Source organism: Homo sapiens, chromosome 1, assembly GCF_000001405.40.
Source record: "Homo sapiens chromosome 1, GRCh38.p14 Primary Assembly".
In the NCBI taxonomy this organism is placed as follows: Eukaryota; Metazoa; Chordata; class Mammalia; order Primates; family Hominidae; genus Homo; species Homo sapiens.
Genome location: NC_000001.11, coordinates 35136216 through 35150047, shown reverse-complemented (window position 1 = coordinate 35150047; position 13832 = coordinate 35136216). Strand labels below are relative to the sequence as shown.

At 43.6% G+C, this 13832-nt stretch overlaps 1 long non-coding RNA gene across 2 annotated transcripts; it reads left to right on the top strand.

Annotated features, from left to right (window-relative positions):
* The first annotated feature begins 3222 nt into the window (after window positions 1-3222).
* Window positions 3223-8579, top strand: LOC105378644 (uncharacterized). 2 transcript variants are annotated; one of them, XR_947180.3, is made up of 3 exons: window positions 3223-3749; window positions 4952-5181; window positions 7015-8579. It is a non-coding gene; the product is annotated as an uncharacterized LOC105378644 (long non-coding RNA). The 2 variants fall into 2 exon arrangements; XR_007065746.1 differs by having other exon boundaries at window positions 3223-5181.
* Window positions 8580-13832: the final 5253 nt, after the last annotated feature.

The following is a 13832-nucleotide window of genomic DNA, read 5'->3' as shown; positions in this document are numbered from 1 at the left end:
AGACCAGTCTGGCCACCATGGTGAAACCCCGTCTCTAATAAAAATATAAAAAGCATTAGCCATGCATGGTGGTGGGCGCCTGCAGTCCCAGCTACTCGGGAGGCTGAGGCAGGAAAATTGCTTGAACCCAGCAGGCAGAGGTTGCAGTGAGCTGAGATCACGCCACTGCACTCCAGCCTGAGTGACAGAGTGAGACTCCATCTCAAAAAAAAAAAAAAAGAAAGAAAATCCCTATCCTCTTTTGTTCCGATCTAATTACCGGTGCATGCAGCCCCCAATCACGTACCCCCTGCTTGCTCAATCAATCATTACCCTCTCATGTGCACCCCCTTAGAGTTGTGAGCTCCTAAAAGGGATTGCTCACTGGGGAGCTTGGCTCTTGAGACAGGAGTCTTGCCGATGCCCCCGGCCGAATAAACTCCTTCTTTTTTTTTTTTTTTTTTTGAGACAGAGTCTCGCTCTGTCGCCCAGGCTGGAGTGCAGTGGCGTGATCTCGGCTCACTGCAAGCTCTGCCTCCCGGGTTCACGCCATTCTCCTGCCTCAGCCTCCTGAGTAGCTGGGACTACAGGCGCCTGCCACCACGCCCAGCTAATTTTTTTGTATTTTTAGTAGAGATGGGGTTTCACCGTGTTAGCCAGGATGGTCTTGATCTCCTGACCTCGTGATCCACCCGCCTCAGCCTCCCAAAGTGCTGGGATTACAGGCGTAAGCCACCGCACCCCGCAACCCCTTCCTTCTTTAACTTGGTGTCTGAGGAGTTTTGTCTGGGCTGGTCCTGCTACATTTCTTGGTTCCCTGACCCAGAAGCGAGGTGATTGGTGGATGGTCAAGGCAGCTCCTTAGGCAGCTTCTTAGGCAGCTTAAGCCTGCCCTGTGGAACATCCCTGCGGGGGACTCCGACCAGACCAGCCCAAGCGACGTGGATCCTGAGAGCGTTCCTGGGTAGGCATTTGCCCTGGTGGGACGCCTCGCCAGAGCAATGTGTGGCAGGTCCCCGTGGGGGATCAACGCAGTGGCTGAACACCAGGAAGGAATGGGCACTTGGAGTCTGGACACCTAAAACTTGGTAAGACTAGTCTTTGAAACTTGCCCACTCCATTTGAGTGGAAGTGTGGCCTGATCACCCACGGTGTGCCTGTACCGGCACTTTGGTTTTTGTTTTTGACTTGACTTGGATTGCTTGATACTTTGGTTTTGGTTTTGACCTGGCTTGGATTTCTGGATACTCTGATTTTGGTTTGGTGCAAACTGTAAAAGTGTGTGTGTGCCCTTTTTACCCGTTGTTTTGTGGTGTGCGTGTGGTGTGAGCGTGGTGTTTTGTCTTGAAGAAGATAGGTCAGGCACAAATAAGCCCACCCTATTAGAAACTATGTTGAAACATTTCAAAAAAGAATTTAAAGTAGACTATGGAGTACTATGACACTAGGAAAACTTAAAACTTTGTGTAAGATAGACTGGCTAGCATTAGAGGTAGGTTGGCCATTAGAAGGAAGCCTGGACAGGTCCCTTGTTTCAAAGGTATGGCACAAGGTAACCTGTAAGCCAGGGAACCCAGACCAGTTCCCGTACATAGACACTTGGTTACAGCTGGTTTTAGACCCCCCACCCCCAACACACAGTGGTTGAGAGAACAGCAGCATAAGTGGCTGGCAGAGGCAAGGAAAGACCAGCAGAGAGAGAAAAAGGAAAGAGAGAGGACAAGAGGCAAAGAGAGAGAGGAAGAGACAGACAAAGAGGGAGTCAAGGAGAGAGAGAGAGAAAGAGGCAGAGAGAGAGAAAAAGAGAGGCAAAAAGAAAGTCAAAGAGAGACAAAGTCAAAGAGAGAGAGAGAGAGAGAGAGAGATAGAAGTAGTTTAAAAAAAAAAGTGTACCTTATTCCTTTAAAAGCCAAGGTAAATTTAAAACCTATAATTGATAATTGAAGGTATTCTCCATAACACTATAACACTCCAATACCACTTTGTTATTAGTGTAAACAAGGGCATATCCCAAAAGCACTGAGGCCTTCCTATCAAAAATCCTTAACCTGGTAACCCACGGATGGCCCAGAAGCATTCAATCTGTAGCAGCAACTGCTTTGCTAACAACAAAAAATTAAAAAAAATAACCTTTAGAGGAAACCTCATTGTGAGCATACCTCACCAGTTCAGAAGTATCCTTGCCGAGCGCGGTGGCTCACGCCTATAATCCCAGCACTTTGGGAGGCTGAGGCGGGTGGATCATGAGGTCAGGAGTTCGGGACCAGCCTGGCCAAGATGGTGAAACCCCATCGCTACTAAAAATACAAAAATTAGCCAGGCATGGTGGCGCACGCCTGTAGTCCCAGCTACTTGGGAGGCTGGGGCAGGAGAATCGTTGAACCCAGGAGGCAGAGGTTGCGGTGAGCCAAGATCATGCCATTGCACTCCAGCCTGGGCAACAAGAGCAAAACTTCATCTAAAAAAAAAAAAAGAAGTATCCTAAGGAAAAAAAAAAAGAAAGAAAGAAAAAAAGGGGGGGCGGAATTTATATAAAAAGAGTATTATATGGTAGATTCTTGTCCTGAAATAAGTTAACTGGTTGTTTAAAGAAAGAAATATTTGTAATAAGTCAGAAAGTTGAGGCATGTCGAAGAATTGTCTGTGAAAGTCATGAAAGAGAAAAATGTTATAAAAAAGAATTTATGCAAAAAATGTTGTATAATTTAAAAGTAACTAGGCCTCCTGAATGTAAAACTATTAAAAAAAAAAACAGTTTATGTGCAAGGTGTATAAGAAAAGTAAAATATACCTTTGGTAAAAGGATTATAAGGAAGCATAAGAATGTACATTTTTACCTACATTAAAAAAAGAAAATTACTGTTTTGAAGGTTTAAACATGTTTTAAAATGTTAATTGTAAAGAAAATTCTGTGTGTAAACATATTAGCTAAAGTTAAAGAAGTATCATCCAGTTTTTCTGTGAACTGGACATTAAAGTAAAAGCATAACAGGTTTATCTTAAAGCACCAACCTGCTCTTTAGCAAAAATTGTAAGGAAGGAGACCACTACTACTCCTGCTGCCCTCCTCTCCCCACCTTGCCTAGTTCACAAGACAGGAAGAGAGAAAAAGCAAAAAGTTGGAAAAAAACAAAAGTAAGATAAATAGCCAGACAACCTTGGAACCACCACCCGACCCTAGGAGTTAAAAAAAGTAATAATAACATCAACCCCTGACCTAAACTACTTGTGTGATCTGTAAATTCCAGACACTGTATGAAAAAAAGCATTGTAAAACTTTTTGTTCTGTTAGCTGATGCATGTAGCCTCCACGCTTGCTTGATGTATCACGACCCTTTCACGTGGACCCCTTAAAGTTGTAAGCCTTTAAAAAGGCCAAGAATTTCTTTTTCGGGGAGCTCAGCTCTTAAGACGCGAGTCTGCTGATGCTCCCGGCCAAATAAAAACCTCTTCCTTCTTTAATCCAGTGTCTGAGGAGTTTTGTCTGTGGCTCGTCCTGTTACATTTCTTGGTTCCCTGACCGGGAAGCGAGGTGATTAAGGGATGGTCCAGGCAGCCCCTTAGTTAGCTTATGTCTGCCCTGTAGAGCATCCCTGCAGGGGACTCTGGCCAGCTTGAGCAACACGGATCCTAAGAGCGCTCCCGGGTAGGCATTTGCCCCGGTTGAACACCTCACCAGAGCAGCGCACAGCAGGCCCCCGCGGAGGATCAACGCAGTGGCTGAACACCGGGAAGGAACTGGCACTTTAAGTCTGGACATCTGAAACTTGGTAAGACTGGTCTTTGGAACTTGCCACTCCTCTTGAGTGGAAGTGTGGCCTGATCACCCATGGCGTGCCTGTACCGGCACATTGGTTTTTGTTTTTGACTTGACTTGAATTGCTTGATACTTTGGTTTTAGTTTTGATTTTGACTTGACTTGAATTGCTTGATAAACAGACATGCCTTTATTGGCACTTTGGTTTTGGTTCTGATTTTGACTTGGCTTAAATTGCTTGATGAACAGGTGTGCCTTTAACAACACTTTGGTTTTAGTTTTCATTTTGATTTAGTGTGAATTAGATGAGTGAGTGACCTTTTATCCTTTCCTTCTTGTAGTGTGAATGTTGTTTTGTCTCAAGAGAAAAATAGGTCAGACACAAAGTAAGCCTACTCCACTAAGAACTGTGTTAAAAAAAATTTTCAAAAAGAAAAATAAAAGGAAAGTCATCAAATCATCAAAACTTATTCCATTAAAATGCAGGTTACAGAACCTTAAGAAGGGTTTTGCAGGAGATTATAGAGTTAAGTTAACCCCTAGAGGCTAAGAACTCTGTGTAAATTAGAATTGCCCTCTTTTGGTGTTGGATGGCCCACCGAAGGAACTATAGACAGGGAACAATTGGCCATGTATTTAAGGTGGTGACAGGGGTTGGAGGACAGCCAGTGTACCTAGATCAAATTACTTTATATTGACTCATGGTTAAATATAATATAGACAAAATGGGCATAAATTTAGCCCTGTTTAACAGCTTATTGCAAAAAAAGCCAAAAGTAAAAGTAAGAGCAGCTTCGCCAGCAGACATGGAGTTAAAAAGGGAGTCCCAGAAACAGCAACAGAAGCCAGTTTTGCAGGAGCTGCCAGAGATAATAGAAATTCTTTCTCCATATGTCCCAGCCTATCCCCCTTTACCGAGGCCAACAGCCCCCTCAGAAATGAGATTCAGGAGCTAACATGCCCCAGGTCTCACCTCAAAGGGGAGGATCGGAGCCTCGAGAGGCCGAGGAAGGAAGTCAAGATAGTCAAGTGGGCCCTCTCAGATCTGGTCTTGCTCGAGCTATGCAAATGCCTCTCAGGGAGACGCGAGGACCTGTCTATTATAATGACCAGGCCCACATCTGGGGGGGCAACAGACTTTCATCTATCAGCCCTTTTCAACCATTGATCTACTAAACTGGAAATACCCTGAACCCTCCACCTTGCTCCTGGCAGCTAGAGCCCTGTCGAGCATAACTGTGTAGAGGTGTTGGACTCAAGTTTACTCTAGCAGACCTGACCTCCAGGACCAGCCTTGGGCATCAGTAAACTGGGAGCTATACGTGGACGGGAACAGCTTCATCAACCCACAAGGAGAGAGATGTGCAGAATATGCGGTGGTAACCCTGGACACTGTCGTTAAGCTGAGCTGATTGCTTTAATTCAGTCCTTAGAACTCAGTGAAGGTAAGACTGTAAACATTTACACTGACTCTCGGTATGCCTGTTTAACCCTCTAAGTGCATGAAAAATTATATTAAAAAAAGAGCCTGTTACTCTAGGAAAAAGGGGAAAAAAACCCAGAGAATGCAACTCAGCTTCAGCGTTTGCAGAGGTACTGAGAAGCACTTCTGCAGAGGCTAAGAGTTGGTAGAAAAAAGCAAGTAATATAAAAAAGATTTCAGAAATTTTTCAAGGAGCTGACAAGAGCCTAAGTCAGTTTTATAAGAGACTCTATAAAGCATTCTGGCTTTACACCCCATTTAACCCTGAGGCCGCTGAAAATCAGTATATAGTGAATACTTCATTTGTAAAGCAAGCCCAGGGTAACATCAAGCAGAAGCTGCAGGCATGAATACCACCTAGTCTATAAAAGTGGCCACCAAGGTGTATGTTAACTGTGACCAAGGAACAAAACTAGGAAAGAGCAAAAGAAAAAAAAAAAAGACTGAGAGTAAGTGTGAAAAAGAGAATCAGAAGGAAACAGGAGAGACAGACCGCAGTGCGCAGGGGCAGGGCCCGTGCTGTTGCCTGGCCCCACCAGCTGGCCGTAGGAGTAGGATAACTCAGAAAGAAAAAAAAAAAACAAAGACTTAAGTAAAAAAGCCAATCTGTTAGCAACAGCTCTTATACAAAGAAAAATTAGCAATGTGAGAGGATGTGGACGTGGATGTAGACGTGAAAGAAGTCAAGTTAGGCAAGGATTCAAGAGCCGGACAAGGCTAGAGAGAGATTAATGTGCGAGATGCAAAAAGAAAGGACACTAAAACGGTAAATATTCAAAAGGCAATAAAGGAAATGGCCAAGGCCACAAGGCAAAGAGGGCCGAGGGCCGCCGCACCTTGGAGGAACAAAATACTGACCTGATCAGGCTGACAGGAACTAAAGAATGTAAAGACTAGGGCAGACTAGGCACCTTCTCATTAGGCTCCTAGGAGCCCATGGTCACAACAAAAGTTAAAAGCAGCAGATTCTGCTGTATCTGGATTCCAATTTCTCACTGAAGGTTAAGCACTAGATAGAGTTACAAAGTGGAGGGGGGAAGAACCCCTCCTCTAAGAAACTTAAACAGGAGAAAGAGCCATACCTTGTGAGAACTTGCTTGTAGACTTTACAGAACTGCCCCGTGCTGGAGGCTATCGGTACATGCTAGTGCTTGTTTGCACCTTTTCAGGGTAAGTTAAAGTTTTCCCCACCAGGACAAAAAAAATTACAAGAAGTAACTAAAGTACTGTTAAAAGACATTATCCCCAGGTTTAGACTACTTCTAACTTTAAAGTCAGACAATAGGCCAGCATTTGTAGTTGAAATAGTACAAGATTTAACAAGGCTGTTAAAAATAAAATGGAAGTTAAACACAACCCATCAGCCACAAAGTTCAAGAAAAGGTGGAAAGCATGAACTGGACACTTGAGCAGCTACTGAAAAAAATATTGCCAGGAAATTCATGTAAGATAAAATCAGGTTTTTGCCTATGGTCCTCCTCCGAGTCAGGTGCACCCCCAAACAAACAAGGTATTTGCCCTATAAGATTTTGTTCAGTCGGCCACCCCCAAATCATAGGTCAAATTAAAGGTGACCTCCAGAAACTACAGGAATTAACCTTAAAAAAGCAAATGCAGGCTTTAAAAATAGCCATACAAAGTGTTCATAATTAAATAAATAAAAATGCCTATAAGCCTGACACCCCTTTAAATCTAGTGACTCTGTTTAAAGTAAAAAAGTAAAATCAAATTTTTCTAGGACCCATATAGGATGGACCCTATACTGTAACCTTGTCCACTCCCACTGCTGTTAAAGTTGCAGGTGTTGTGTCTTGGATCCATCACAGTCAGCTAACACTGGCAGCTCAGGACAAGTGGACCAGCCAGCAGGATGCAGATCACCCAACCTGGCTGATCCTGAGACGAGACCAAGCTGCTGCTGAGGACGACAGCCCTGCTCTGGTCACTCCGGAGGCTGACCAGTCTACGCACGGCCGAAGCTTGAGGACTCATCGAGCAAGTAAATGTAGTTAAAAATCTTAAGACTAATAGTTTTCCTGTAATACTAACTGTTTTCCTATTGTTCGGTCGCTGTATTCAACCTTTTTCCCAGGTAAGGACCTCTTTTGTCCTTGCTGGATACGAATATGCTGTACATTGTTTTGTTGTTGTTAACCCCCATAACCATGTTAGAAGAAACACCTATATAAGGTGTCCCCACTGTACACATACTACTTAGGAAACCCAGACCTGTCCAGCCCAGTAACAATTCTGAGTCTTTCAGTCATTCTTTAAACATATAAACCAGAAGTTACCAGAACCTCCTCCTTTAGCAAAAACAGAAAAAACCTATTTGCTCAGCTGGCTGAAAACATTGCTAGCTGCCTAGATGTTTCTTCATGTTATGTTTATAAAAAGGCTAACATAAGAGACCAATGGCCTTGAGAAGCAAAAGAGTTAATGCCTCAAGATAACTTTAACTAGCTCTTTCCCCAAACAGATGCCACAAGTTCAAGCATCTGGCTCTTAAAACTTCTATTATTAAAAAATACCATGTTACTCACTAGGAAAAAGCTTTTAAGACACAGTAAAAAGAACTAACCTGCTTAAGGCATGACAAAGTTGGTACATGTGCATATACAGGTTTAACACAGGTCTGATCCTAGGTGTTCATTTAGAACATAGTTTCCAGCTGTAAGAAAATTTAAAACCCTCATTGTAAGTGTATTACTAGTAATAGGAACTTGCTTGCTGCTCCCCTGTATATTATATTTGCTCCTTCAAATGATAAAAGGTTTTGTAGCTACCATGGTTCAGCAGAAAACTTCAACACAAGTATATTACATAAAATACTATCACTCTGTCTCACAAAAAGACTCAAAAAGTAAAAATAAAAGAACTCCCACTGATTAGTGAAAATTCTCAAAGGGGGAGATAAGGAAGGAGACCACTACTACTCCTGCTGCCCTCCTCTCCCCACCTTGCCTAGTTCGCAAGACAGGAGGAGAGAAAAACAAAAAGTTGGAAAAAAAACAAAAGTAAGATAAACAGCCAGACAACCTTGGCACCACCACCCGGCCTTAGGAGTTAAAAAAAGTAATAATGATAACCTCAACCCCTGACCTAAACTACTTGTGTTGTCTGTAAATTTCAGACACTGTATGAAAAAAAGCATTGTAAAACTTTTTGTTCTGTTAGCTGATGCATATAGCCCCCAGTCATGTTTCCCATGCTTGCTTGATGTACCACGACCCTTACACGTGGACCCCTTAAAGTTGTAAACCTTTAAAAAGGCCAAGAATTTCTTTTTCGGGGAGCTCGGCTCTTAAGACACGAGTCTGACAATGCTCCTGGCCGAATAAAAACCTCTTCCTTCTTTAATTCAGTGTCTGAGGAGTTTTGTCTGTGGCTCGTCCTGCTACAATAAAAGGTTAAAAAGAGTCTATAAAATCTTACCTTATGGTCAAACATTAAAAATTAGATAAATATGTCTACAAGGTTTTATTAAAATTAAGTTTAACATTAATAACACACTAATATAAAAATAAAATTTAGCTTATCTGGTATAAAAATCACACGAGAAGCACTGTTAAGTGTAAAATGGTATTTGGCTTTCTTTGGTTTAAAAAGTAATAAACATTTTTCTCAGTAAAAAGGCACTAAGGAATATAAAGTCCACTGCCAAGGTCCCCACATTTAAAACAAAGGTCAATTTCTTTCTTTTTTTTTTTTTTTTTTTTGAGACAGAGTTTCACTCTTGTTGCCCAGGCTGGAGTGCAATGGCGCAATCTTGGCTTACGGCAACCTCCGCCTCCCGGGTTCAAGCAATTCTCCTGCCTCAGCCTCCTGAGTAGCTGAGATTACAGACATGCACCACTATGCCCAGCTAACTTTGTATGTTTAGTAGAGATGGGGTTTCTCCATGTTGGTCAGGCTGGTCTCGAACTCCTGACCTCAGGTGATCTGCCCACCTCAGCCTCCCAAAGTGCTGGGATTACAGGCGTGAGCCACTGCGCCCGGCCCCAAAAGGTCAATTTCTTAAAAATTATATACTTCATTTATCTTCCACTTTCCTTTCTCTCAAAAACTAAAAGTCTTTTAGCACATGTACCACTCCTAGAATTTCCGGTAAACCAGCACCAGCCTGAAGATCACATTCTCATCAAAGGGTGGAAAGAAGAAAAACTCGAGCCAGCCTGGGAAGGACCCTACCTTGTGCTGCTAGCCACTGAGACTGCTGTTTGTACAGCCAAAAAAAAAAAAAAAAAAAGAATGGACTCATCACACCCGAGTCAAGAAAACACCATCACTTCCAGAGTCGTGGGCCATAGTCCCAGGGGAAAACCCTACCAAACTAAAGCTAAGCAAAATTTAACTCTTTTCATCTATTCTATTACTCTTTCTTCTTTCCTCATTCTATTGCTGACCATCTAGTTATTAACATAACCAAGTCAATTTCACCTCAAACTATTGCATTTAATGCTTGCCTTGTTATAACCTGTGAGGACTTGCCAAGTCAAAGACAGCTTTCTACTTCAGAAAGGTACTTCTGTCTCTCCTGCCTCTCCTCAGACTGGGCATTAGTAAACTAGGACCATTTAATCCGAGGAGATTTCGATAAAGACCCCAGTGCCAACCAGGAGTCTTGCCCCCCGATGTAGAGCTTTCATGCCATAGTTGGTCCAACATTCTGTGGACCACTAAAGGGCAAGGATGGACTGCCCCAACCGGTTTTTGTAATTTCCTAAAACCATACATTCATTTTACTAGAGGATCATAGAAGTTAAAGACTTAAACTTTAGCAATTAAGACAGGATACCAAGATGCAAATGCCTGGTTAAAATAGATCCAATATTCCATCTGCATGTTAAACAAAAACAATTGTTTTGCTTGTGCACATGGCAGGCCAGAGGCCCAGATTGTCCCCTTTCCACTAAGGTGGTCTTCCAGTTGACCAGGTGTGGGCTACATGGTAGCTCTTTCCAGGATTCTACAGCCTGGAGTAATAAGTCGTGCCAAGCTCTCTCTGCTATATACCAAAGTCCGGCACCCTGTGGGTCAGCCCCTGAGGGCCATCCAGCCTCCGTCTCCCAACACTAAGTTCACTTTGTGTCTCTCACGACAGGGAGGAAATTTAGCATTCCTTGGAGACCTGAAGGGATGCAGTGAGCTTAAGAATTTTCAAGAAATTATCAATCAGTCAGCCCTTGTTCATCCCCAAGCGGATGTGTGGTGGTATTGTGGTGGACCTTTACTGGGCACTCTGCCAAATAACTGGAGTGGCACTTGTACTTTAGTCCAATTGGCTATCCCTTTCACCCTGGCATTACATCAACCAGAAGGAAAAAAATAAAGCATCGTAAAGCGAGAGAAGCCCCTTATGGGTCTTTCGACTCTCACATCTATTTAGATGCAATTGGAGTCCCATGAGGAATACCAGATCAATTTAAAGCTTGAAATCAAATAGCTGCAAGATTTGAGTCAACATTTTGGTAGGTGACAGTCAATAAAAATGTAGATTAGATAAACTACATCTATTACAACCAACAGCAACGAGATTTTCATGAGTTAAAAAAAAAACTCACGTCGGCCCCAGCCCTGAGGCTACCTGACCTGACAAAACTCTTTACACTCTATATGTCAGAAAAAGAAAAAATGGCAGTTTTAACTCAGACTGTGGGGCACTGGCCAAGGCCAGTGGCCTATCTCTCAAAACAACCAGACAAGGTTTCCAAAGGCTGGCCCCCAGGTCTAAGGGCCCTAGCAGCAGTGACCCTGTTAGCACAAAGCACAAGAAGCAGATAAACTAACCATTAGGCAAAACCTGAATATAAATGTCCCCCATGCTGTGGTAACTTTAATGACTACCAAAGGACATCATTGGTTAACAAATGCTAGATTAACAAGTACCAAAGCTTGCTATGTGAAAATCCCCACATAACCATTGAAGTTTGCAACACCCTAAACCCCACCACCTTGCTCCCGGTATCAGAGAGCCCAGTTGAACATAACTGTGTAGAGGTGTTGGACTCAGTTTATTCTAGCAGGCCCAACCTCCGAGACCATCCTTAAACATCAGTAGACTGTGAGTGGTACATGGACAGGAGCAGCTTCGCCAACCCCTGCAAAGTGACTCTGAAGAAGACAACAAGCCCTGCTCCAGTCACACCCGGACGCACGACCGAAGCATGAGAAAACTCATCACGGGACTCATTTTCCTTAAAATTTGAACTTTTACAGTAAGGACTTCAACTGACCTTCCTCAGACTGAGGACTGTTCCCAGTGTATACATCAAGTCACTGAGGTAGGACAAAAGGTTGCTATGGTCCTATGATATTATGGTTATTATAAGTGTACTGGAACTCTGAAAAGAACTTGTTTGTATAATGTTATTCTATACAAGGCATGTAGCCCAGGAAATGACCAACCTGATGGATGTTATGACCCATCTGAGCCTCCCATGACCACAGTTTTAAAAATAAGATTAAAGACTGAGGACTGGTGGGGGCTCAAAAACGATATGAATAAAGTGTTAGGCAAAACAGAAGAAAAAGGGGTGCCCAAACAAATCACCTTAAAATTTGATGCCTGTGCTGTCATTAATAGTAATAAGTTAGGAATAAGTTGTGGTTCTCCTAATTAGAAAAGAGGCTATATGGCAGAAAATAAGTACATCTGTCATAAATTAGGACTGTGTGGAAATAAATGTAAATACTGGTTTTGTGTCATTTAGGCCACTTAGATTAAAAAAAAAAATGAAAAGGATCCAGTCCACCTTCAGAAAGGAAAAAAAGGCCCTTCCTGTACTAAGGAACAATGTAACTGTCAGGCCTCTGAGCCCAAGCTAAGCCATCATATCCCTTGTGACCTGCACATACACATCCAGATAGCCGGTTCCTGCCTTAAATGATGACATCCCACCACAAAAGAAATGAAAATAGCCTGTTCCTACCTTAACTGATGACATTATCTTGTGAAATTCCTTCTCCTGGCTCATCCTGGCTCAAAAGCTCCCCTACTGAGCACCTTGTGACCCCCCCACTCCTGCCTGCCAGAGAACAACCCCCCTTTGACTGTAATTTTCCTTTACCTACCCATATCTTATAAAACAGCCCCACCCCTATCTCCCTCCACTGACTCTCTTTTCAGACTCAGCCTGCCTGCACCCAGGTGATTAAAAGCTTTATTGCTCACACAAATCCTATTTGGTAGTCTCTTCACATGGACGTGCATGAAATTTGGTGCCGTGACTCGGATCGGGGGACCTCCCTTGGGAGAACAATCCCCTGTCCTCCTGCTCTTTGCTCCGTGAAAAAGATCCACCTAAGACCTTGGGTCCTCAGACCCACCAGCCCAAGGAACATCTCACCAATTTTAAATCGGGTAAGTGGCCTCTTCTTACTCTCTTCTCCAACCTCCCTCACTATCCCTCAACCATTTTCTCCTTTCAATCTTGGTGTCAGCCTTCAATCTCTCCCTTCTCTTAATTTCAATTCATTTCATTTTCTGGTACAGACAAAGGAAACATGTTTTATCTGTGGACCCAAAACTCCGACGCCGGTCATGGACTCGGGAAGGCAGCCTTCCCTTGGTGTTTAATCATTGCAGGGATGCCTCTCTGTTTATTCACTCATGTTTCAGAGGTGTCTGACCACGCGGGGACACCTGCCTTGGTCCTTCACCCTTAGCGGCAAGTACCGCTTTTCTGGGGGGCAAGGACCCCCCAACACCTCTCCATGTCTCTACCCCTTCTCCACTTTTCTGGGAGGCAAGAACCCCCCAACCCCTTATCTCTGCACACTGATCCCTTATTTCCATGCCCTGACCCCTTATCTCTGCACCCCAATCCCTTATTTCCATGCCCCAACCTCTTATCTCTTTGCCCCAATCCCTTATTTCCACACCCCAACCTCTTATCTCTGTGCTCCAACCCCTTATTTCCATGACCCAACCCCTTTCCCACTTTTCTAGAGCATAAGAACCCCCGAACCCCTGCCCTCTGTGTCTCTACTCTCTCTTTTCTCTCAGCTTGCCTCCTTCACTATGGGCAAACTTCCACCCTCCATTCCTCTCTCTTCTCCCTTCGCCTGTGTTCTCAAGAACTTAAAACCTCTTCAACTCACACCTGACCTAAAACCTAAATGCCTTATTTTCTTCTACAATCCCGCTTGACCCCAATACAAACTTGACAGTAGTTCCAAATAGCCAGAAAACAGCACTTTCGATTTTTCCATCCTAAAGATCTAGATAATTCTTATCATAAAATGGGCAAACGGTCTGAGGTCCCTGACATCCAGGCATTCTTTTACACATTGTTCCCTCCCTAGTCACTGTTCCCAATGCGACTCATCCCAAATCCTCCTTCTTTCCCTCCCGCCTGTCCCCTCAGTCCCAACCCCAAGCATTGCTGAGTCTTTCTAATCTTCCTTTTCTACAGACCCATCTGACCTCTCCCCTCCTCGCCAGGCCGAGCCACGTCCCAATTCTTCCTCAGCCTCCGCTCCTCCACCCTATAATCCTTTTATCACCTCCCCTCCTCACACCTGGTCCGGCTTACAGTTTCGTTCCTCAACTAGCCTTCTCCCACCTGCCCAGCAATTTCTTCTTAAAAAGGTGGCTGGAGCTAAAGGCAT